This window comes from Homo sapiens, chromosome 5 (genome assembly GCF_000001405.40).
Source record: "Homo sapiens chromosome 5, GRCh38.p14 Primary Assembly".
Lineage (NCBI taxonomy): Eukaryota > Metazoa > Chordata > Mammalia > Primates > Hominidae > Homo > Homo sapiens.
In genome coordinates, this window is record NC_000005.10 from 132,927,431 (window position 1) to 132,953,048 (window position 25,618).

At 42.1% G+C, this 25,618-nt stretch overlaps 1 protein-coding gene and 2 pseudogenes across 4 annotated transcripts in view; 2 read left to right on the plus strand and 1 right to left on the minus strand.

The window, feature by feature from the left end:
- AFF4 (ALF transcription elongation factor 4) overlaps nucleotides 1-25,618 on the minus strand; it is an 88,240-nt gene that overhangs the window by 52,036 nt on the left and 10,586 nt on the right. For 2 of the 4 annotated variants that reach the window (XM_047417103.1, XM_005271963.6), the window contains exons 2-5: nucleotides 10,219-10,310; nucleotides 9,637-9,763; nucleotides 6,717-7,511; nucleotides 4,748-4,792 (exon numbers count right to left, since the gene is read on the minus strand). In XM_047417103.1, coding sequence (XP_047273059.1) covers nucleotides 4,748-4,792; nucleotides 6,717-7,511; nucleotides 9,637-9,759 — 963 coding nt within the window. In that variant the 5' untranslated portion in view covers nucleotides 9,760-9,763; nucleotides 10,219-10,310. The remainder of the gene's footprint in view (nucleotides 1-4,747; nucleotides 4,793-6,716; nucleotides 7,512-9,636; nucleotides 9,764-10,218; nucleotides 10,311-25,618) is intronic. The other 2 variants (XM_006714587.5, NM_014423.4) reach the window with 1 other exon arrangement.
- On the plus strand, nucleotides 15,499-16,646 carry EEF1A1P50 (eukaryotic translation elongation factor 1 alpha 1 pseudogene 50; annotated as a pseudogene).
- On the plus strand, nucleotides 21,063-21,285 carry ATP6V0E1P1 (ATPase H+ transporting V0 subunit e1 pseudogene 1; annotated as a pseudogene).

The window sequence follows — 25,618 nt, forward strand, 5'->3', positions numbered from 1 at the left end:
TTATGAAACCTGTGAATAGTTACAGAAATCAGCCTGTAATCAAATACAAGGCACATAATAAAACGCTAATCAGGAAGAGCTTGCTAGGAGAGTGGGAGGAAGGGACAATGATAAGGAAAACAGCTAACATTTACTGTGTACCTTGAATGGGCCAGACACTGTGCTAAGTGTTTTACATGTTTATTACTCATTTAGTACTCACAATGACATTATGAGGTAGATACCATTATTATCCTACCTCTATTTAGGATGAAACTGAAGCACAAAAGTTATTTATTCAAGGCCATACACTTAGTAAATAATGAACATTATATTTCATCCTCAAAAGTCTGGCTATAGAGCCTATATATACTCGTAGAAAAATTTTGTCAGGGGAAGAAATCAGAAGAGAAATTTCAAAAGCACATGAGGAGGAAAACAGAAAAGCAAGACCCTAAGTTTGATTTCATTCAATGCCTTCTGCCTAATCTTAATGCCAAATATGTCTGGGTGAGGTCTGGTAAGATTACAATGTGTATGTTAGATAAGCCAAGGAGACAGAAGTATCAGAATAAGGAGAGAGTATATTATTTCTGGCATTTAGTTCAAAGTAAGCCATCAGGTAAATTAAGGAAATGCAACAAATTAACAGTGGTGTAACACCTAGGAATTTATCCCATAGCAATATCCACACAGTTTTGTAAAGATATACGTATAAGGGGCTCACACTTCAAAAACTGAAACAACCTAGGTAGTCAATGTGAAAGTTGTGAGAATCAAAATGGAGTCACTAATGTTTATATATTTAAAAAAAAACAAAAAAACAAACAAAAAAAAACCCAAAACACCCTGAGCTGGGAAAGACCATGAAGAAAGGCTTCTCATGCTTGTATGCCTGATAAACAAAAAAATCTACAAAAACCACAACCTTGCACAAAGGTCATCAAAACCTTAAACCAAAAAAATATTTCCACAAGGACATCTGTCCAGCTTGTCCGACCTCAGACTGGTGTCATCCTTACTAGTGATCTTTGTAGCCAAGGATAATTATTTCAAAAACAATTATGTAATCTTCCTCATTTTTTCCTTCAAAAACCTTTGTCTCTCTTTACCTCTTTGAATATGACCATAGACTACTATGGCACATGTATTTCCACTGCAATGCTCTATTCCCATCATCTTTTCTTTCAGAGAGCCTCTGTTATTTAGGTTGACACCAACACAGTACTGATTAAATAAATTACCAGACATCTATAAAATAGAACACCAGACATTAAAATGAGAAATTTAACTGTTGATATGTAATGATGTCCACAGTATTTTATTAAGTGACAAAGACAAATCAGTCTACGTCCTAGTTAATGTTTAGCTTTGGGCAACAGAATGACAGAAGGAAGAGACAAGGGCACTTGATATATTACTACTTGAACCTCTTAAAACAGCCACCTGCACATAATTGCTCTTTATTCCCTTAAAATGCTTTGATTTTTAATAGAATTTCACTTCCTGAAATAATATTATGTAATAGATTGCTTCCTACATCCAGCTCTAGAATATCAGCTCAAAGGCATAACATTATGACCACTGTATTCCCAGTGGTTGACACAAAGTAGGTGCTTAATGAGCATGCCTTGAATAAATCATTTTTTCAATAAATATACATTTAGAGTGAATTTTTTTTTAAGTTCATGATGGGGTTCCTAAAAATGATATGACTACAAATACAAAGAAAACATGAAGGGAACACACACCTGAAGTTCCTTGCATACTACAGACAGGAAAGGGAAAAGGAAACAAAAATTCATAAACTCAGGTTTTTAACATTGGCATTTTATATCTCAAATATCAAAACTCTCAACTGAAAATTTGATTTAATTCTCCAATTATCATCGAATGACTGAGCACCTATTAACTAAAGGCCAAGTGCCAAGCCCCTGCACATATAAAATATGGATGTCAATAACATTAAAGAGATCATTAAATGTAAGAAAATCTTCCACATACTAATAATTCTATGAACTGTTGAGGATTCAGAGGAAAATATTTATGCTCCCTTACACTTTTTATATACATGGCAACTAAGAAATGAATGAGATTCAAATGAAAGAGCTATCACTGTGGTCTCACAATCTGATACGGGGGAAGAAGTATTTCATTGGGATTACAGGGAAAAAAAATCTATATATAACTGAAGAGGGAGGAGAAATACATTCCAAGCTTACTTTATTTAAGGAGGTAAAAGAGAAAGAATGTATGTGGCTTAGGGAAACCAGTTTAGCAAAAGCGGTCAGTCAGTAATGAGAGAGGTTAGGATTGGCCTGCGGATATTAAATTTGGATACTATTCTTTCTATAATCTTAGAGAGCCACTGAAAATTTTTAGGGAAAAATTAATTTATGAAGACCACAGGGCCTGAAGTAAAGAATCAGGTAGCAATGCAAAAGACATATGAGTAGGGAGATTCTGGAGGCAGAAAGGCTGAATGAGGCCTCTGTTATAATTACTGAAGCTCAAGGCGGCAGAAACGGGAAGAAAGGAATGGATATTTAAAAAGCAAAAATTTTAAAGTCTACATCTAGTTTTGCAACTACATAGAACATGAGGAAGAAATTAGAGATATTTAGGATTCTACAGTTACAAGCATGGGAAAACGGTGTACTACTAATCCAAGGAAGTCTGATAAGTATGGCTTTAGACATGTTGAGTCTGAAGAGGCAAAGAGAAATAAATCCAAATGGAAACTCAGCTAAGAAGCAATTAAGAGACAAACCAAAACCCAAAGGCCAGTGTAGGACAGAAAGACTAAATAGCTGTCTAAGAGATAAAGCCAAGAATGGTGGAAAAGGCAAGTCAAAGAGCAGAGGCTAGAAGAATGCACCTGCACTTAAGAAACAAGAGAAGGCACAAGGGTTCCAAAAAGGGCAAAGAAAGAGAGGCAAGAAAGGTGGAAGGCAAATAAAAACAATGAAGCATAAAAACAGTCAAGGAAAGAAGAATGTTTGCAGAAGGAAAAAATACATAGCAGAAAGAATAAAAAAGAACTCAAATGATGCCTCTGGATGGAGGGAGAAAGATAATGACCATAGAGAAACAGGTTCAGCAAAATGGCAGAGGTAAAAGGGAGATTATAGTGGGCTAAAGGAAGGAATGGGAAAGAAAAGAGTGGAAGCAACCAATGCAGGTAGTCTTTCAAAGGTGTTCACAGTGAATTTAAGTATAGACACAAATTCAGGAGCTCACAAAAAAAAATAAAAAAGAAAATACAAGTAATATGTGACTGACAGTTTTCTCTACTAAGCAAAAAGTAGTCATTGTCATTCACTAATTCACTGGACTTTCTCTTTTTCCAATAGAGTAATGTACTTTTTGGTCATGTGTCAATTTTAAACATGTGTCATTAAATACCCAAAATGTTGGCTGGGCGTGGTGGCTCATACCTATAATCCCAGCACTTTGGGAGGCCAAGGCAGGCAGACAGGAGTTCCAGACCAGCCTGGCCAACATGGTGAAACCCTATCTCTACTAAAAAAAAAAAAAAAAAAAAAAAATTAGCCAGGCATGGTGGCAGATGCCTATAATCCCAGCTACTCAGGAGGCTGAGGCAGAAGAATCACTTGAACCTGCGAGGCGGAGGTTGCAGTGAGCTGAGATCACGCCACTGCACTCCAACCTGGGTGACAGAGTAAAACTCTGGCTCAAAAAAAAAAAAAAAAATGTGTAAAGCAGCCGGGTGCAGTGGCTCAGGCTATAATCCCAGCACTTTGGGAGGCCGGGCAGGAGGATGGGGGAGTGGGGAGTAACTGGAGGTCAGAAGTTCAAGACCAGCCCGGACAAAGTGGTGAAACCCCATCTCTACTAAAAATACAAAAATTAGCTGGACATGGTGGTGGGCACCTGTAATCCCAGCTACTCAGGAGGCTGAGGCACAAGAATTGCTTGAACCCAGGAGACAGAGGTAGCAGTGAGCCTAGATAATGCCACTGTACTCCAGACTGGGTAACAGAGTGAGACTCCATATCAAGAAAAAATAAATGTGCAAAACTGGAAGGAAATCTATTACTGTAAGATTTGACCAGTATGTACAAGATGAACCAAAGCAAGGTATTTTGATCATAATGGTTTGACTGATAACTACTGAGTTTTTTGCACTTCAAATTATTAACAGTTAAGCATGAGAAAGTACAGTTATAATTGGCTTGTTAATGTTTTCCAGGCAAAGTAAGTGTTAAGATTAAAATTTATTTTACTTAAAAGCAAAGAACGCGGCCAGGCGCGGTGACTCACACCTGTAATCCCAGCACTCTGGGAGGCCGAAGCAGGTGGATCACCTGAGGTCAGGAGTTCCAGGCCAGCCTGGCCACCCCAACTCCGCAAAAATACAAAAATCAGCCGGGCATGATGGCGGGAGCCTGTAATCCCACCTACTCAGGAGGCTAAGGTTAAAGAATTGCTTGAACCTGGGAGGTGGAGGTTGCAGTGAGCCAAGATCGCGCCACTGCACTCCAGGCTGGGCGACAGAGTGAGACTTCATCTCAAAAAACAAACAAACAACAACAACAAAAAAAAACACAAAGAACAAAACTAGCTCTCTGAAGGCAAATGGTAAACAAAGAAGAGAGTAAATTATTTATGATGGACATAATCAAGTTACAAATATAAGCAATCTGTTGCTTCAGATCCTTTGTGAAATACAGGTAGAAAGAGGGTAAGAAGGTGGCAGAGCATAAAAAATTAAAGAAATTGAAATGATTTTTTTTAAAAAACTTACTTTTAGGATTTCATCCACACAGCTCACATCACCAGAAGCTGATGCCTTGAAAGAAAAAGCAGCACACATTAGATTTTTATCAGTAGATTTTTAGTATTTGCTTCACAGATTTAAAAACATTATTAAAAGTATTTATGACCCCACTACTCTAAATCAGTACACTGGTTAGAATCTTTGGATTAATTTCCTTAAATATAAATTTTTCAAGCACCAGAAAATTTTAATCACCAAACTATACAAAGCTGGGGGAACTTTATAGTTTTCAAAGGTTTTAAGTTTTTTATCCTATATTTTAGATTAGAAATAATTTTTAGAATGTAATTTTTCAGGTGTGCAGCTTGTCTAAAAATTTAATCTTACCTATATATAAAACATATCATGATACTGAGATACATCATTTCACATAAACAAAGTTAACCCATTTATGCCAGAGGCTGCAAATTTTTTGTGTGAAAAATCGTACCTTAGCGATGACCTTGAGCAGTAGGACGTAAGTAACTCCTACGAGCTTAGCATTCCAATAATGGAACACCAAGCATAAATGGGTTAAACAAGTATTACTGAAAGATTACTAGTCTGGAACATGGACATTTTACATAGTCTTTCTAAGTCACAAAAACCAAATTGCTTATTCTAAGGCACAAACAGGAATTAGAGAGCCGAACTCAAGTCAAACTCTAAAGATCATGTTGTTTAAGGAAAGAACAAATTACCATTTTACTGTTCTCTTGAGAGGAGTAATCAGATAACAAATGCCACTCAAAATGAGTTTCCCAAGGCCACTGGAAAGATGTTTTAAATGTTTGCAAAACAGCATTTTACATTACGCAGATTCTTCCTTCCACCATTTTGAGCTAAGAGTTGTAATTTTTTGGCTACTGACGTCACTTTCCAAATTTTTTTTTATTGCACAAACTACATTAAAAGATAAAATTTGGGGCCAGGCGCGGTGGCTCACGCCTGTAATCCCAGCACTTTGCGAGGCCGAGGCGGGCGGATCACGTGAGGTCAGGAGTTCAAGACCAGCCTGACCAACATGGTGAAACCCCATCTCTACTAAAAATACAAAATTAGCCGGGCATGGTGGCACATGCCTGTAATCCCAGCTACTCGGGAGGCTGAGGCAGGAGAATCGCTTGAACCTGGGAGGTAGAGGTTGCAGTGAGCCGAAATCGTGCCGTTGCACTCTAGCATGGGCAACAAGAGCGAAACTCCAACTCAAAAAAAAAAAAAGAGAGAGATAAAATTTGGGCCAGGCATGATGGTCATGTCTGTAACCTTAGCACTTTGAAGGCCAAGATGAGAGGATCGCTTGAGGCCAGGAGTTCCAGACCAGCCTGGGCAACATTATGAGACACCCATCTTGAAAAAAAAAGATATAATTTCAGCTATTTCACAATGAAATGTTCCAAAATGCTTTGGTAAGCAATTCAATTTAAATTTCAAACCATCACTATGAACCTGGAGCAGCTGTCTTAATCCTTTAAGTATAACCAGAGAAAAGGATCATAGCATTCAAAGTATACAATATTACTATTTCCACAGACCCAAAAGTCCCATTTATCATAACCATAAACCATCACCTGCATCTCATTCATTAGTATCAATCTAAGCATAGAAAAGTTAATTTTGTTTTTAAACAACAACAAAGGTATATTGTTCTATAAAATCAAAATGCAGAAATCTAAGATATCAATTAGTCATTCTTTTATTCTATAACTGACTTGTCATCTAAGTATTTGAAAACTGTGAATGACATTTTCTCCATTTCCCAAGAGGACGAGTTAACAGATCTACGCATCCACTTGGGAGTAACTCACAAGTCTGTCTTTACATTTTTTTCATCTTTCAACTTTTACATTCCTTACTATTAAGGCAAGGAAGCAGTGTTCAAGTTCAATCGTAATTTCATGATCAGTCAATTGCTTCACGTAGTCACAATGTTAAAAGCTCTAAATGTGTGACTTACATCCAGTGGTTGGGAAGGTATTTTCAGCTTGGTGAGATGTGCTTTGCTGCTGGGCTTCAGCTCAGTCATGCTGTTGCCATGGGATTGGCTGCTGTAGTGCTCAGAGGACAGCTTTGGTTCCATGGACTCCTGTCCGTCCATGGGCCGCACATAGGCAGTGGGTTTCTGTAACATTGAATTGGACTTTGACATCAATGAGGGTGGGAAAGATTGAGTTGAGTGCTGCCCACTTGAAAAAGGTACACGGGAAGGAGAATCCCAGTTTGCATCAGGGTCCCGAGGTGATTTGGAGCGTTGATGTTCCTTGCTATGGTGATCATTCCCATGAGACCTGGAATGACTAGAGTTTAATGAAGAAACAGCCTGGGGTTTTCCAGGGCTGGAAGAACGTGATTTGGAGTGTTCTGATCCATGCTGGCCTTTTTTCCGGCTACTGCTCCCACTATTGTTATATGACTCACGGTCGTGCCTCTGACCACTACTGTTAGTGCCACTACTGCTACCTGCGCTGGTCCGCTGGCTACTATGTCCACTCTGTAAGCCTGAGGACCGTTTCTGAGACTGAGAAGTGCTGGGTGCGGGTCCTACTGGAGTCCATTTGCTACTCTGATGAGAGCCTCCATGTCTCTGTTCAAAGAAATTTGGGTTAGATTTTTCATCTGCTGATGGTGGTACTGTAGGCTTGGGAATTGCAACAAGCTTTGGTATAGATCTGTCTCCTATGAAATCCTTCATTTCATCGTAGTTTCCAAGCATACTCTGAATACGACTTGATAACTTATCTTCTTTGCTAGTCTACAAAAAAATAAAATAAAATAAAATTATAAAATGAGCATAATCAGAAATAAAATATAATTCTGAACTAATTTTCCAAACTTCGAATGGAAAGGGGCTTTTCAAAGGGAGGCTTTACCTCATATCTTAACGTTAATACCTTGAAGCAAACTCCAAATATATCATTTCTGTAGTGAAAAAAAAAATCATTGAAAAGTGCCTAAAAATAACCATAGTAAAATATAATCCGAGCACAGTGGCACGTGCCTGTACTCCCAGCTACTCTGGGCAGCTGAGGCAGGTTTGCTCAATTCCAAGATTTTGAGGCTCCAGTGCACTATGATTTCACCTGTGAAGAGCAACTGCACTCCAGCATGGGTAACATAGCAAGACTGTCTTTTAAATACACAAAGTATTTTGAAAGGCCAGGTGCAGTGGCTCACACCTGTAATCCCAGCACTTTGGGAGGCCAAGACGGACAGATCACCTGATGTCAGGAGTTCCAGACCAGCCTGGCCAACATGGTGAAAACCCATTTCTAGCAAAAATACAAACGTTAGCCGGGTGTGGCCAGACATGGTGGCTCACACCTATAATTCCAGCACTTTGGGAGGCCAAGGTGGGCGGATCACCTGACATCAGGAGTTGGAGACCAGCCTGGCCAACATGGTGAAACCCCGTTTCTATTAAAAATACAAAAATAAGCTAGGCGTGGTGGCGGGTGTCTGTAATCCCAGCTACTCAGGAGGCTGAGGCAGGAGAATCGCTTGAACCCGGGAAGCAGAGGTTGCAGTGAGCAGAGATTGCGTCATTGCACTCCAGTAAGACTCCATCTCCGAAAAAAAAAAAAAAACTAGCCCGGCAAGGTGGTGCACGCCTGTAATCCCAGCTACTCGAGAGGCTGAGGCAGGAGAATCACTTGAACCCAGAAGTCAGTGGTGGCAATGAGCCGAGATCATGACATGGCACTCCAGCCTAGACGAAAGAACAAGATTCCTTCTCATAAAAAAAAAAAAAAACTTTTGAAGAACAGAAAAGTAATCTGCCTTTATAAAATTAAGTTCCAGCTGGGCACAGTGGCTCAGGCCTGTAATCCCAGCACTTTGGGAGGCTGAGGCGGGCGGATCATGAGGTCAAGAGATCGAGACCATCCTGGCTAACATGGTGAAACCCTGTCTCTACTAAAAATACAAAAAATTAGCCGGGCATGGTGGCAGGCGCCTGTAGTCCCAGCTACTCTGGAGGCTTAGGCAGGAGAATGGCGTGAACCCGGGAGGCGGAGCTTGCAGTGAGCCCAGATCGCGCCACTGCACTCCAACCTGGGCGACAGAGCAAGACTCCGTCTCAAAAAAAAAAAAAAAAAAAAAAAAAAATTAACTTCCACAGTCCAGCAGATTAGCTAACATTCGTATTTTGGCAGTTTATGAAAATATTATATTCCTCATAACTCAATGTTATAGTTAGAAGCAGAAACAAAAATTTAATGAAAAAAGTGATACCCAAATGACTGTCTATAACAACAGAAAAAGAAATCAGACTGATACTGAAGACACATTTATTCAAACATACTAATAATCTCTGAAACTTTGTAAACTAAGTAGCAAATGGCAGTGAGAAGAAACAAAAGCATCTATGAAATATTCATTTTTTATTGATATCACACTTAAAGAACACCTAGGAAAAATCAAACAATGCAAATTGAGTTACAAAATTCTAATTTAATTCAAAATTCAGAATGGTGAAGTACCCGCCGATGGTTAGTAGCACAACTAGGAAAATAGAGGTAAATGTATGAGCCAACTCAGACCACATTTTTAAGAACACAGGACAGCAATAGGAGGTGGGTTGGAAAACGACTTTTAGGGTGCTGGTAATGCTCTATTTCTTGATCTGAGTTGTATGAAGCTGTTGATGCTGTGAAAATTCTTCAAGCCATAATACCTATGTTGTGTATTTTTCTGTAAGCATAATATACTCCAAAGAAAAGTTTATCCCCAAAAAATATCTTCTATGTAAAGGACAGGAAAAAAATGTTAAGTGGTATTCATAGTAATTCTTTTCTAATATAAACATTCAAGTGTGAAACATTTTAAAAGCAAAAATGTCATGCTAATGGGAAAAAAACATTCACAGAAGGGCAACTTACAACTTTGTATGGCTCTGCAAAGAGAGGAGAGCTAGGTGGGAAGGCGTCTTCGCCCTGCTGAATTTCCTGATTCCGCCTTTCCCGTTCTTTCATACGCAGCACATTCCGGTCTTCACGGTTCATGTTGCTATGAAAAGAAACACAATCTTTGTATCACAGAAATAAAAGGAAAAATTAAATATTCTGTACAGATTTTGTCAGCTTAACACTTCAATCACAGATTCCCTTTTGACCTCCAAGTAATAACAGGCATTAGTGCTGAAGCTGGGTTTTGGTAATGGTTTTATCAACAAATACCAATAGTGTCTTCCACAACTATTCCAAGGAAACACTAGCCCAGAATATTAGAACCCACCCCAACAAAACACTTAACCTTATCAATGTTTGAAGTACTCTGTTAGCTAAAAGCAAAAACTTGTACATTCAGAGGGAACGTAGTATTTGAACACAAATCCTCAGTATTTCCTTTTGGGCCCTCCTCTTCAGAAATCTGCCTATTCTTTGCCCTTAGAAGCATATAACCCACTCCCAACTACCACCCTTCCCCCCAGGGTCCAGTTCTTTTCTCTACTTTGCATCTACCTTATCTTGATTTCTTTTTGTCCCAAACACAGCTTCCTTGGTGTCCATCCTTACGGTAGTTTGACCTCAGCTTTGCTGTTGCTCTAGATTCCCTAAAAAACGACATTTCTGCTCTAAATATATTAATATTTCAATTAACACCTCAATAAATGGCAAAACCCAGGTTTTCAGTGATAGAATCAAAAATTAACTTGGATTAGTAACAGCAACTAAACTTGTATTGAAAAAGGAAGTCTTTGGAGTGAGGGGAAAATGGAAGTCCCATCTCTATAATCAGGACAGTTTGTCTTATTTTCACTAGAACAAACCAAGAGAAATACAGCCAATTTATAGCAGCAAGGATTTTGATTAAACAGACAATGGTAGTAAAGGCTGGCAAACTCTGGCACTAGGGATTACCAGGGAATCTGCAACACTCTTCCCTGGAGACAGATTAAATAATCAGACCTGGTTTTGTTTTTTTTTTTAAAAAAAAAGGCTCACTGGAGCCCAGAAAGAAACAATCAGGTTATATGTGTGGAGCATTTCTGGCCTATAATTCATAAATCAAATCAGAAAATTAAAGTTCATCAGAAACTATAATTATAAAATTAGAATTAGTAACAAAGCAGTATTATACTCTTTTTTTTTTTTTTGAAACAGAGTCTTGCTCTATCATCCAGGCTGGAGTGCGGTGGTGCGATCTCCCAGCTCACCACAACCTATGCCTCCCGGGTTCAAGCGATTCTCCTACCTCAGCCTCCTGAGTAGCTGGGATTACAGGTGCATGCCAATGGCTGGCTAATTTTTTTATTTTTAGTAGAGACAGGATTTCACCATGTTGGCCAGGCCAGGCTGGACTCCTGACCTCAAGTGATCCTCCCACCTTGGCCTCCCAAAGTGCTGGGATTACAGGCATGAGAGCAACCAAGTACTTTTGAGGACTTTAATCAGTGGTTAGAACTAGTGAAAGCAAACATTTAAAATTAAAACCTCCTGATTTGCATACTAAGTGTCATGCAATAAAAGCAATTTAACGGCCTGAGCGGCTCACGCCTGTAAACCCAGCACTTTGGGAGGCCGAGGTGGGCAGATCACAAGGTCAGGAGATCGAGACCATCCTGGCTAACACGGTGAAACCCCGTCTCTACTAAAAATACAAAAAATTAGCCAGGTGCAGTGGCAGGCGCCTGTAGTCCCGGCTACTCAGGAGGCTGAGGCAGGAGAATGGCGTGAACCCGGGAGGCAGAGATTGCAGTGAGCTGAGATGGCACCACTGCACTCCAGCCTGGGCGACAGAGAGAGACTCATCTCAAAAAAAAAAAAAAAAAAAAAAGGCAATTTAATGTTTAGAAAAAAAAAAAAAAAAGGGACCCGAGGTGGGAGGATCGCTTGACCTGCCTAGCCAACATGACAAAACTGCATCTCTACTAAAAATAAAATTTAGCCAGGTGTGGTGGTGGACACCTGTAATAGCTTCTCGGGAGGCTCAAGCAAGAGAATCACTTGAATCCAGGAGGCAGAGGTTGCAGTGAGCCATGATTGTGCCACTGATCTCCAGCCTGGGAGACAGAACGAGACCCTTTCTCAAAAAAAAAAAAAAAAGAATGTTCTAAGTGTTTCAGATATGTTTTCAAATTGTTTTGTATGTATACAATTTTCTAATAAGCTTAATGTATACAATTTTCTAATAAGCTTAAACAGGATTTCTTTGGTTTCGCTAATACTTAGCACTCTATAGAACTCTATTTCAATCTTTAAAGAATACCACAAAACTTAAGTATTCATAAAACAAAACCAAAGAACATATTATACTCCATCACATTTGAACCAAGTAATAGTTTTATATCACTAACAACCAGGCTTCAAATAGGCCTCTTGGGCTATGGTTCTGCCAACATACAAAGTTATTTATACCTGAGAGACTAAGGAATATGTTAACTACCAGTTTCCTTAAATTTAAATCCTGAAAGATCTGCAACTTCTTTTTTCTTTTTTTTGAGACGAAGTCTCGCTCTTGTCCCCCAGGTTGAAGTGCGATGGCACGATCTCGGCTCACTGCAACCTCCACCACCCAGGTTCAATTGATTCTCCTGCCTCAGCCTCCTGAGTAGCTGGGATTACAGGCACCTGCCACCACGCCCGGCTAATTTTTGTATTTTTAGTAGCGATGGGGTTTCACCGAGTTGGCCAAACTCCTGGTCTCAAACTCCAGACATCAGGTGATCTGCCTGCCTTGGCCTCTCAAAGTGCTGGGATTACAGGCATGAGCCTGAACTTTGGCTTAAGGCCAGGAGCGGTGGCTTACAACTGTAATCCCAGCACTTTGAGAGGCCAAGGCGGGCGGATCACTGGAGGTAAGGAGTTCAAGACCAGCCTGGCCAATGCAGTGAAACCCCATCTCTACTACAAAATACAAAAAAGTAGCCTGCCGTGGTAGCAGGTGCCTATAATCCCAGCTACTCAGGAGGCTGAGGCAGGAGAACTGCATGAACCTGGGAGGCGGAGGTTGCAGTGAGTCAAGATCGCACCACTGGACTCCAGCCTGGGTGACAAGAGCAAGACTCCATCTCAAAAAAATAAAAATAAAGGCCGGGTGCGGTGGCTCACGCCTGTAATCCTAGCAATTTGGGTGGCGGAGGCGGGCAGATCACAAGGTCAGGAGATTGAGATATCCTGGCTAACACAGTGAAACCCCATCTCTACTAAAAATATAAAAAGAAATTATCCGGGCGTGGCGGTGGGCGCCTGAAGTCCCAGCTACTCGGGAGGCTGAGGCAGGAGAATGGCGTGAACCCGGGAGGCGGAGCTTGCAGTGAGTCGAGATCGCACCACTGCACTCCAGCCTGGGCGACAGAGGGAGACTCCGTCTCAAAAAAAAATAAAAATAAAAACAAAAAATAAAGTATGATTTTATTTTATAGATTGAGCAGCACTGAAATAATCATTCAAGAAGTATTTCTATATCTCTTGTAAAAATAGGTGATTCCTATAATAAAATTCTTTCTGTAATTCAATGTCAAAGAAACTGGTTTTTTAAACAATCAAAGTCACACAAGTGAACACTTATAAGGCTACCAGGAAGCTAAGAACTAAATTAACTCACTGTAATAATTAGGTCGGGTGCTGTGGCTCACTCCTGTAATCCCAGCACTTTGGGAGGCCGAGGCAGGCGGATGACCTGAGGTCAAGAATTCAAGACCAGCCTGGCCAACACGGTGAAACCCCATCTCCACCAAAAATACAAAAATTAGCCAGGCATGGTGGCAGGTGCCTGTAATCCCAGCTACTCAGGAGGCTGATGCAGGAGAAAAGCTTGAACTCAGGAGGCGGAGGTTGCAGTGAGCTGAGATTGCATCACTGAACTCCAGCCTGGGTGACAAAACGAAACTACATCTCAAAAAAAAAAAAGAAAGAAAAGAAAAAATTAATATACCAGTTATAGTGCTTATTCTCTATTTTTTTCTGATCTTTTTGTATCAAATATATTGGTTCGATTTTTTTTGCCTCCTGTGTCTCTTACCATCACTATCTCTGGCTAAGATGAAATAAGTTTTCTCCAAAAGCAATAATTCCAGTAATTTCAACTCCTCCAACGTTAACATGAAATTTAAATGAGTCAATCTGAAGTATATCTTTGTCAAACGGGCAAAACTATTTTATAGCTATGAGAATACAGGAATAAACAAGCTCAGTTTCTTTTCTTTTCTTTTTTATTTTTTTTGAGACAGTGTCTCACTCTATCTCCCAGGCTGGAAAGCAGTGGCACAATCTCAGCTCACTGCAACCTCAGACTCCGAGGTTCAAATGATTCTCATGCCTCAGCCTCCCAAATAACTGGAATTACAGGCACACACCACCACACCTGGCTAACTTTTTTTGTATTTTTGTAGGGACAGGGTTTCGCAATGTTGCCCAGGCTGGTCTCCAACTCCCGATCTCAAGAGATCTGCTCACCTTGGCCTCCAAATGTGCTGGGATTACAGGTGTGAGCCACAGTGCCCAGCCAACAAACTCAGTTTCTCACACAATACTCTCACAACATCCTTCTAACACCAGATGTGTGGGGTTTTTTTTCGCACGCACAAGCAAGCAATTGGCCAGGCGCGGTGGCTCACGCCTGCAATCCCAGCACTTTAGGAGGCCAACGAGGGCAGATTACCTGAGGTCAGGCATTTGAGATGAGCCTGGCCAACACGGGGAATCCCCTCCTCTACTAAAAATACAAAAATTGACAGGGCATGGTGGCACATGCCTTAATCCCAGCTACTTAGGAGGCTGAGGCAGGAGAATCGCTTGAACCCAGGAGGCAGAGGTTGCAGTGAGACGAGATCGCACCAGTGCACTCCAGCCCGGGGAACAGAGCAAGACTCCATCTCAAAAAAAAAAAAAAAAAGTAAGCAATCAATTCTTCAGAAAATACCAGCTGGGTGTTCTCTGTCTCCTACCTGGAGATACTGTCAGACCCCACAGGTTGAGTGAGGGTTCAGTCCCCAAGGCTGCTCCCCACTTTTGATGTCAATCCCAAGTCCCAGGTTGTTTTTACCTGTGCTTCTGACCAACTGGCTAAAAATCAGGGTTCTGCAACCCCTTCCTTCAGTTTTAATAATTTGCTGGAGAAGCTCACAGAATTAATGGAAACCTGGTTACTAGGCTCTTACAAATGTTATTTTAAAGGATATAAATAAACCGTCAAATGAAGAGTTACAGAGGCAAGATGTACAATGGTGAAGGAGCTTCAATTCCCTTGGAGAAAGGTGTGCCACCCTCTCACTACATGAACATGTTCTAGGTTACCTTTCTGGAAGCCCCCTGAACTCAGTCCTTTTGACCTTTTTTTTTTTTTTTTTTTTAAAGACAGAGTTTCGCTCTTGTTGCCCAGGCTGGAGTGCAATGGCACCATCTCGGCTCACCACAACCTTCGCCTGCCGGATTCAAGTGATTCTCCTACCTCAACCTCCCGAGTAGCTGGGATTACAGGCATGCGCCACCATGCCAGGATGATTTTGTATTTTAAGTAGAGATGGGGTTTCTCCATGTTGGTCAGGCTAGTCTCAAACTCCCGACCTCAGGTGATCCACCCACCTCGGCCTCCCAAGTGCTGGAATTAGAGGCGTAAGCCATTGCACCCGGCCCATGTCAGATATTATTAATCCTGCCACTTGACAAAATACCATTTATCACCTGGGTGCAGTGGCTCATGCCTGTAATCCCAGCAGTTTGGGAGGCCGAGGCATGAGGATCGCTTGAGCTCAGGAGTTCAAGACCACCTTGGGCCACATGATGAGACCCAGTCTCTACAAGGCTACTGTGATGGGAAAGGGGTCCTTCAAGTACACCTGGGTCTTGGATAAACTGAAAGCTGAGTGTGAGGGTGGTGGCACTGATGACAGTTCCCTGCGGAAACTTGAGGCCAGAAAGTATTATGTAACTAGTTGACGCCCCAAGACAAAGATTTTTTAAAAAGCATGATTACAGGCACATCTCAGGCTGACTGTGCTACCCTGATTGTTGCAGCTGGTGAATTTGAAGCTGGTATCTCCTTCTGACTTACACACTGGGTGTGAAACAGCTAATTGCTGGAGTTAACAAAATGGATTCCACTTAGCCGCCCTACAAACAGAAGAGATACAAGGAAATGGTTAAGGAAGTCAGCCCTTACAATAAGAAAGTTGGCCACAACCCCAACACAGTAGCATTTGTGCCAATTTCTGGTTGGAATGATGGCAACATGCTGTGGCCAAGTGCTAACATGCCTTGGTTCAAGGGATGGAAAGTCACCTGTAAAGATGGCAAATGCCAGTATAAACACCCTGCTTGAAGCTCTGGATTGCATCCTACTACCAATTTGTCCAACTGACAAGCCCTTGTGTCTGTCTCTCCAAAATATCTACAAAATTGGTGGTATTGGTACTATCTCTGTAGGCCAAGTGGAGACTGGTGTCAGCATAGAGGTCACCTTGGCTCCAGTCAATGTTACAACTAAAGCCAAATCTGTTGCAATATACCATGAAGCTTTGAGTGAAGTTTTTCCTGGGAACAATGGGGGCTTCAACATCAAGAACGTATCTGTCAAAAATGTTCATCATGGCAATGTTGCTGGTGACAGGAAAAATGACCCACCAATGGAAGCAGCTGGCTTCACTGCTCAGGTGATTATCCTGAACCACCCAGTCCAAATCAGTGCTGGCTATGCTCCTGTAATGGATTGCCACATGGCTCACACTGCCTGCAAGTTTCCTGAGCTGAAGGGAAAGACGGATTGCCATTCTGGTAAGGTGAAAGATGGCCCTAAATTCTTGAAATCTGGTAATGCTCCCATCTTTGATAAAATTCCTGGCAAGCCCACACGTGTGTTGAGAGCTTCTGACTATCCTTCTTTGGGTTGTTTTGTTGTTCATAATGTAAGACAAACAGTTGCTGTGAGTGTCATCAAAACAGAGGATAAGCCTGTAATCCCAGCACTTTGGGAGGCTGAGGAGGGCAGATCACAAGGTCAGGAGATCAAGACCATCCTGGCTAACACGGTGAAACCCCATCTCTACTAAAAATACAAAAAATTAGCCAGGTGTAATGGCGGGCGCCTGTAGTCCCAGCTACTCGGGAGGCTGAGGCAGGAGAATGGCGTGAACCCAGGAGGCGGAGCTTGCAGTGAGCCGAGATCGTGCCGCTGCACTCCAGCCTGGGCGACAGCGCGAGACTCTGTCTCCAAAAAAAAACAGAGGATAAGGCCAGAAGGTCAGGCACGGTGGTTCACACCTGTAATCCCAGCACTTTGGAAGCCATGGCAGGAGAATCACTCAAGCTCAGGAGTTTGAGACCACCCTGGGCAACATGGTGAAACTCCATCTCTACAAAAAATACAAAAAATTAGCTGGGTGTGGTGGCATGCGTCTGTGGTCCCAGCTACTCAGGAAACTGAGGTCTGGGGAATGCTTGAGCCTGAGAGGTGGAAGTTCAAATGAGTCAAGGTAGTATCACTGCACTCCAGCCTGAGTGACAGAGTGAGACTCTCTCTCAAAAAATTTAAAATTGGCTCACGCCCGTAATCCCAGCACTTTGGAGGCTGAGGCAGGCGGACAACCTGAGGTCAGGAGTTCAAGACCAGTCTGGCCAACAGAGTGAAACCCCATCTCTACTAAAAATACAAAAATTAGCCAAGCATGGTGGCAGGCGCCTGTAATCCCAGCTACTTGAGAGGCTGAGGCAGGAGAATCACTTGAACACGGGAGGTGGAGGTTGCAGTGAGCCGTGACCATGTCATTGCACTCCAGCCTGGGCAACAAGAGTGAAATTCCATCTCAAAAAAAAAAAAAAGAAAAAAAAATTTTTTTTAATTAAAAAAACAAAAACAGTGGACAAGAAGGCTCCTGGACCTGGCAATATCATCGAGTCTGCCCAGAAAGCTCGGAAGACTAAATGAATATCATCCCTAATACCTGCCACCCCAGTCTCAATCAATGGTAGAAGAACAGTCTCAGAATTGTTTGTTTCGATTGGCCATTTAAGTTTAACAGTAAAAGACTGGTTAATGATAACAGTGCATGGTGAAATCTTCAGAAGGAAAAGATGACTGTTTTGTGATCCATTTTCAGTTTTTTTCATGTGGCAGTTTTAAATTACTAGTTTTTAAAATCAGTACTGTTCAATGGAAGCGACTTAACCAAGAATCTGTCTCAGAATTTTGAGACCCATGAAACAAAGTTTAATGAGAGGCTGGTTCGAAGGTAGTCAGTTATCTCAACTGATTGTTCACAGTCAAGTTATAGACTGAACCCCTTGCTCTAGTCTTTGACCCCTTCTCACTCCCACACTTGACTGCCTACTTTTAAAAACAAACAACACTGGGCATGGTGGGTCACGCCTGTAAACCCAGCACTTTGGGAGGCCAAGGCAGGAGGATCACCTGAGATCAGGAGTTCGAGACCAGCCTGGCCAACATAGTGAAACCCCGTCTCCACTAAAAATACAAAAATTAGCTGGGCATGGTGGTGGGCACCTGTAATCCCAGCTACTTGGGAGGCTGAGACAGGAGAATTGCTTGAACCTGGGAGGTGGAGGTTGCAGTGAGCCAACACTGCACCACTGCACTGCACTCCAGCCTGGGCGACAGAACAAGACTCCATCTCAAAATAAAAATAAAAATAAACAGGCCGGGCACGGTGGCTCGCGCCTGTAATCCTAGCACTTTCGCAGGCTGAGGCAGGCGGATCATCTGAGGTCAGGAGTTTGAGACTAGCCTGACCAACATGGAAAAACCCCGTCTCTACTAAAAATACAAAATTAGCCAGGCGTGGTGGCGCAAGCCTGTAATCCCAGCTACTCGGGAGGATGAGGCAGGAGAATTGCTTGAACCCGGGACGCGGAGGTTGTGGTGAGCCACGATTGCACCATTGCACTCCAGCCTGGGCAACAAGAGCAAAACTCTGTCTCAAAAAAAATAAATTAATAAACAAGTAAAGTTTAGTGAAAGAAAAAAACCCACAATATCACTCCACACCCATTAGGATGGCTATGATAAAAACAAAAACACAAAATAACACGTGTTGGTGAGGATGCAGACAAATTGTAACCTTTGTGCACTGCTGGTGGGAATATGCAATGGTGCAGCTGCTATGGATTGGCAGTTCCTCAAAAACTTTAACAAATAATTACCATAGGATCCAGCAATTTTACTCCTAGGAATATATCCAAAAGAACCGAAAGCAGAGACTCAAACAGATCCATGTACACCAATGTTCATAGCAGCATTGTTCACAATAGCGAAAAGATGGAAACAACCCAAATGTCCATCAACAGATGACGATCCATCAACACGGATAAGCAAAATGTGGTATATATACACACATACATAATGGAATACTATTTAGCCATAAGGAATGAAATTCTGATACATGCTACAACATAGATGAACCTTGAAACGTTATGCTATGTGAAATAAGTCAGACACAAAAGGACACATATTGTATGATTCTACTTAATATGAGGCACCTAGAATAGGCAAATTCATAGAGACCGAAAATAGAATAGAGGTGGGGAGGTTCTGTTTGGGATGATGAAAAAGTTCTGGAAACAGACAGTATTGATGATTGTACAACACTGTGAATGTACTTAATGCCACTGAATTGTATATGTAAAATTATTAAAATAGTAAATTTTATATTTTGCCACAATAAAAAAATTAGTACACCTTAAAAATAAAAATTTAAATGTGTATTCCTAGGAATTAAATGCATTCTATAATTTTTTTATAAACACATACATTAGTTATAAAACATTTTAGGTCAGGCGTGGTGGCGTGCTCCTGTAGTCCCAGCTACTTGGGAGGTGGAGGCACGAGAATCGCTTGAACCCGGGAAGCAGAGGTTGCAGTGAGCCGAGATCATGCCACTGCACTTTGTGGCAACTGAGTGAGACTCTGTCTCAAATAAATTAAATAAGTATATAAAACACTTTATGACTTTTTGCAAGTTTAATTTTAAAAAATTTAAAACAACCGAGCGTTGTGGCTGGCATCTGTAATCCCAGCACTTTGGGAGACTGAGGCAGTGGATCACGTGAGGTCAGGAGTTCAAGACCAGCCTGGCCAACATGGCCAAACCCCATCTCTACTAAAACTACAAAAATTAGCCGGGTGTGGTAACGCGCACCTGTAGTCCCAGCTACTCGGGAGGCTGAGGCAAGAGAATCATTTGAATCTCGGAGGCAAAAATTGCAGTGAGCCGAGATTGTGCCACTCCACTCTAGGCTGCACAACAGAGTAAGACTCTGCCTCGAAAACAAAAAATTAAAACTATTTAGTGTAAAATGTGTATTCTAACATCCCCCATTCAAGTGGAGGTCAGAATTTGTTACAATGTTTTTTGTTTTTTGTTTTTTTCACTTAGTGTCTTAAAATAACTATCCTACTGAAAAACAGAGTCATTCAACTATAAGATTATTGAGTGATTTAAACTCTGAAAGTCAAAATGAGATTTGAGCTAATATTTCAATTATTTTCAAACCCAGTATATTACAACTGCTATTAAACTGTAACTTTACCACAATGCACTATGCTAAAGCACAAAGCCTCAACAGTACATAAATCCCTCTTGGCCTCATTTGGTAGAATTTCTCTACCCATGAGACAGTCTGAAGAGGTCACTTCCTACAAGTCAGGGAAACAAAGGTTGTACACCTACAGATCAAAGCCAATAACAAAACATCAGGTCCCAAGACAATATTTAGCACAGAAGGACCTTTGCCCCAAAGTTAGTCATGAGACTTCTATAGCCTTCAGGTTTAAAATAATGTAGTGAAAAACGTGAAAACAAAGATAACAATTCCACACATTTTTGCTTTCTTCATCACATCCTTATGTATTATGTGAATTTCTTACTGTATTTCATAAATCATTCTCAACTCGTCCCTCAAAGTTTCCCAGAAATTGTGCTTTTTTTTTTGAGATGGAGTCTTGCTCTGTCGCCAGGCTGGAATGCAGTGGCACGATCTCGGCTCACTGCAACCTCCGCCTCCTGGGTTCAAGCAATTCTCGTGCCTCAGCCTCCCAAACAGCTGGGACTACAGGCACCCGCCAACATGTCTGGCTAATCTTTTGTATTTTAGTAGAGACAGGGTTTCACCATGTTGGCCAAGATGGTCTCGATCTCCTGACCTCATGATCCGCCCACCTCAGCCTCCCAAAGTGAAATTGTACTGTTTTTCTCTGATGAATGTTCTTTCCCATTCCTCACAAGTATTTCACGAAGTTCTGTGACTCCCCACAATCCTAATTTTCATTCACAAATAACCTTGTCTTAATGGACAAAGATTAAAAAACAATACTAAAAATCAGAGAGAGGCAGCTCCAGCAGCAAACACAGCGTTATCATGGCCTCACAGTGACGAGCATGTTCTGGGGCTTTGTTGGCTTCTTTGTGCCCTAGTTCGTCACTAAGCGGCCTAACTGGGGAGTTATCATCACCATGATGGTGACCTGTTCAGTTTGCCACTCTCTTTTGGCTGATTGCAATTTTGGCCCAATGCAACCCTCTCTATAGACCATGACTGAAAGATGAAACCACCTGGTATCTGAAGCATCATTGGCCTTGAGGAAGAAGACATGTTTTACAGTGTTCAGTCATTGAAATCAAGAAAGCGAATTCCTTTTTGGATGCAAAATCACCTCCAAATGCAGGCCACCTTCTTCGACTTTGCCTGTTTGGGGCATCAGCTGCCTTAAATGTTCATACCACATTTGAATTTTTTTTCACAATGCAGTACTTTTTCCTTGACCTTATTTACACTTTGATGAATTATGTGTGTACTTAACCTAAACTGTGCTGATTCCACACAATGTTTATGGACTCTTCCAAGACAGAAGATGCTCTCTTCTGAGAAATATATTAATCTATCCCTTGGAATTTATAGATTTGAAGATGGCTCTTGCCTTATCAAAACATGGGACTCAGTGACGGGTCTAAAAACTGCTACTAGACAAAAAAGACTCCAGTGGGGCAATCAGTAGGAAGGCATGTTGAGAGGGAAGATCCCAACAAAACTACACCAAATTACATTTTCAGGATGAAAATCTTATTTCTGCCTTTTTTTTTTTTTTTTTTTTTGAGATGGGGTCTTGCCATATTGCTCAGGCTTGTTTCAAATTCTTTGGCTCAAGCAATCCCCCTGCCACAGCCTTCAGAGTAGCTGAGACTACAAGCATAAGCCATCATACCTGGCTCTCTGCCATCTTTTGGAATAAATTATTTTTCTGCTTTAAGAAACAATGGGCCAGGCCCAGTGGCTCATACCTGCAATCCCCGCACTTTGGGAGGCCAAGGTGGAAGGACCGCTTGAGCCCAGGAGTTCCAGACCAGCCTGGGCAACAAAGTGAGACCTCATCTCTTAAAAAATGTAAAAATTAGGCCAGGCACGGTGCCTCAAGCCTGTAATCCCAGCACTTTGGGAGGCTGAGGCGGGTGGATCACAAGGCCAGGAGACTGAGACCATCCTGCGGGTGGATCACGAGGCCAGGAGATTGAGACCATCCTGGCTAACACAGTGAAACCCCATGTGTACCACACACACACACACACGCGCGCGCGCGCGCGCCAGGCGTGAGGGTGAGTGCCCGCAGTCCCGGCTACTCGGGAGGCTGAGGCGAGAGAATGGCGCGAACCCGGGAGGCGGAGCTAGCAGTGAGCAGAGATCGCGCCACTGCACTAGAGCGAGACTCTGTCTCAAAAAAAAAAAAAAAAAAAAGTAAAAATTAGCCAGGAAAGGTGGTGCATGCCTGTAGTCCTCGCTACTTGGAGACTGAGGCAGAAGGATCACTGGAGCCCAGGAGTTTGAGGCTGCAGTGAGCTATGTTTGTGCCACTGCACTCCAGCATGGCCAACAGAGCAAGACCTGGTCTCAAAAATAAACAAATGAAAATAAAAAGCGGCCAGGCATGGTGGCTCATGCCTGTAATCCCAGCACTCTGGGAGGCCGAGGCAGGCCGATCACGAGGTCAGGAGTTCAAGACCAGCCTGGCCAACATGGTGAAACCCCATCTCAACTAAAAATACAAAAAATAAGCCGTGCCTGGCCGGGCGCGATGGCTCACGCCTGTAATTCCAGCACCTTGGGAGGCCGAGGCAGACAGATCACCTGAGGTTGGGAGTTCGAGACCAGCCTGACCAACATGGAGAAACCCCGTCTCTACTAAAAATACAAAATTAGCCAGGAATGGTGGCACATGCCTGTAATCCCAGCTACCTGGGAGGCTGAGGCAGGAGAATCGCTTGAACGGGAGACAGAGGTTGTAGTGAGCTGAGATCGTGCCATTGCACTCTAGCCTGGGCAATAAGAGCGAAACTCCATCTCAATAAATAAATAAATAAACAAGCAAGCAAGCTAGGCATGGTGGTGGGCGCCTGTAATCCTAGCTACTCGGGAGGCTGAGGTAGGACAATCGCTTGAACCCAGGAGGCAGAGGTTGCAGTGAGCCAAGATTGCGCCACTGCACTCCAGCCCAGGCGACGGTGCGAGACTCCATGTCAAAAATAAAATAAAATAAAAATAAAAAACAATGGAAGAAAAATATTTTTATCAATCAACCATCAACTTTCAAACTATCAGCGTCTACATCTATTCTCTTCCCTCCCAGTGACAAAGGAAAAAAACTCGAATCTTCCTAACAAAGAACAATTATCCTCATTTTGCTATCTTCTAGACCTTTAGCAGTTGCGATTTTTTCTCCAACAACTTCAACTTCTCCATCTCTAGTGAATCCTACGAATCCTTTCCATCAGCATTCAAACATATTCTTCTTTAAAAAAATTTTAACAAAGGCCAGGCATGGTGGCTCATGTCTGCTGTAATCCCAGCACTCTGGGAGGCTAAGACGGGCAGATCACTTGAAGCCAGGAGTTCAAGACCAGCCTGGCCAACATGGCAAAACCCTGTCTCTACTAAAATTACAAAAATTAGCCAGGCGTGGTGGTGCAAACCTGTAGTCCTAGCTACTCAGGAAGCTGAAGCAGGAGAATCGCTTGAACCAGGAGGCAGAGGTTGCAGCGAGCAGAGATCGCCACACTGCACTCTAGCCTGGGCAACAAAGCAAGACTCCGTCTCAAAAAAAAAAAAAAGTCTTCATTGGCCCCACATCTCTCTCCAGCCAAGCTTCTCAAAAGGACTTTTGGTGATTCTCCACCTCCTCAGCAACCACTCATTTTATAAAATGTTACCCTAAAAGATAAGGACCAATACAGTGAACAGTTGTGCTACCCATCAAACAACCACCTTAGGAAATAAAAGCATTACCAACATAGTTGAAGGCTGCTGTGTACTTCTCCTGATCACATCTCCAAGTATTCTCTCCCCCTGTAAGCAGTAGACACTATTCTGATTTTGGTGTCAACCATTCTCAGGAATTTCTTTTCTTTTTCTTTTTTTTCAGACAGAGTCTCACTTGGTTCCCCAGGCTGGAGTGCAGTGGCACGATCTCGGCTCACTGCAACCTCCACATCCCAGGTTCAAGCAATTCTTCTGCCTCAGCCTCCCAAGTAGCTGAGACTACAGGCACCTGCCACAACACCAGGCTAATTTTTGTATTTTCAGTAGAGATGGGGTTTCACCATATTGCCTAGGCTGGTCTCAAACTCCTGACCTCAAGTGATCGGCCCACCTCGGCCTCCCAAAGTGCTGGGATTATTGGCATGAGCCACCACACCCAGCTAGGAATTTTCTTTGTACTTTTACTACATATGTATATATCTCTAAATAAGAAACTGAATTGTTTTGCATATTTCTTCAACATTATTAAAAAGGTATACTCTTAACAACTCAGTTTTTTGAATCCTCAGCATTATGAGGTTAATCCATTGCTGTAGTTCATTTATTTTCACTGTGTATCCACACAGTTTACTTATCTACTCTCCAGATGACACATATTTAGGTAGTTTCCCCTTTCTCTGCCATTACAAACAATGCTAAATGATCATTTTTATGCACATCTCTTTGTACCAATGAGTGAGAGTTCTTCTAGAATAGACAGCTAGAAGTGGAACTACTGCAGAGGATGAACATTTTCAACTTTAGTAGATACAGCCAAATTACTAATACTTTCCAAAATGCCGTCCGTATCCAATCACTATTCAACATTCTACTGTTTCCAATTTCCCAACATTCTGTTTCCAATTTCCCAACATTCTGTTTCCGATTTCCCACATCATATTTCTTTACCAAGATCATTAGCAACTTCCATATTGCTAAATTCAACAGATATTTTATCATTTTACTTGACTTACCATTCAATACATTCAGCCACTTATCTCTCCTTGATATACTCTTTGGCTTCTGTAACACTTAGCCTTCCCAGCTTCCCCAGTTCCTCTGGCTCTTCCCATCCTACCTACCAGATGTCTTCAAAAGTGGTGCTCCACCGTGCTCAGACATGGGTCTTATTCTCGTTCATTTTATATCCTCTCCTTACATTCCCAAAGCTTAAAATATCTCTATGTGGCCAGGCGCGGTGGCTCACACCTGTAATCCCAGCATTTTGGGAGGCCAAGGCAGGCAGATCACTTGAGGTCAGGAGTTCAAGACCAGCCTAGCCAACATGGCGAAACTCCGTCTCTGCTAAAAATAACAAAAAAAATTAACTGGGCATAGTGGTGCATGCCTGTAATTCCACCTACTCGAGAGGCTGTGGCATGAGAATCACTTGAACCTGGGAGGCAGAGGTTGCAATGAGCCAAGATCGTACCACTGCACTCTAGTTTAAGTGACGGAGTGAGACTCTGTCTCAAACAAAAAACAAAAAAAAACACAACTCTATGCCTACAACCAGAATGCCCACATATGCTCCCCATGACACTTTCTCTTCTGAAATACAAAACCACACATCCAGGAACCTGTTTGACAATGCCCTTTGGCTATCTAAGAAATCTAAATCAGG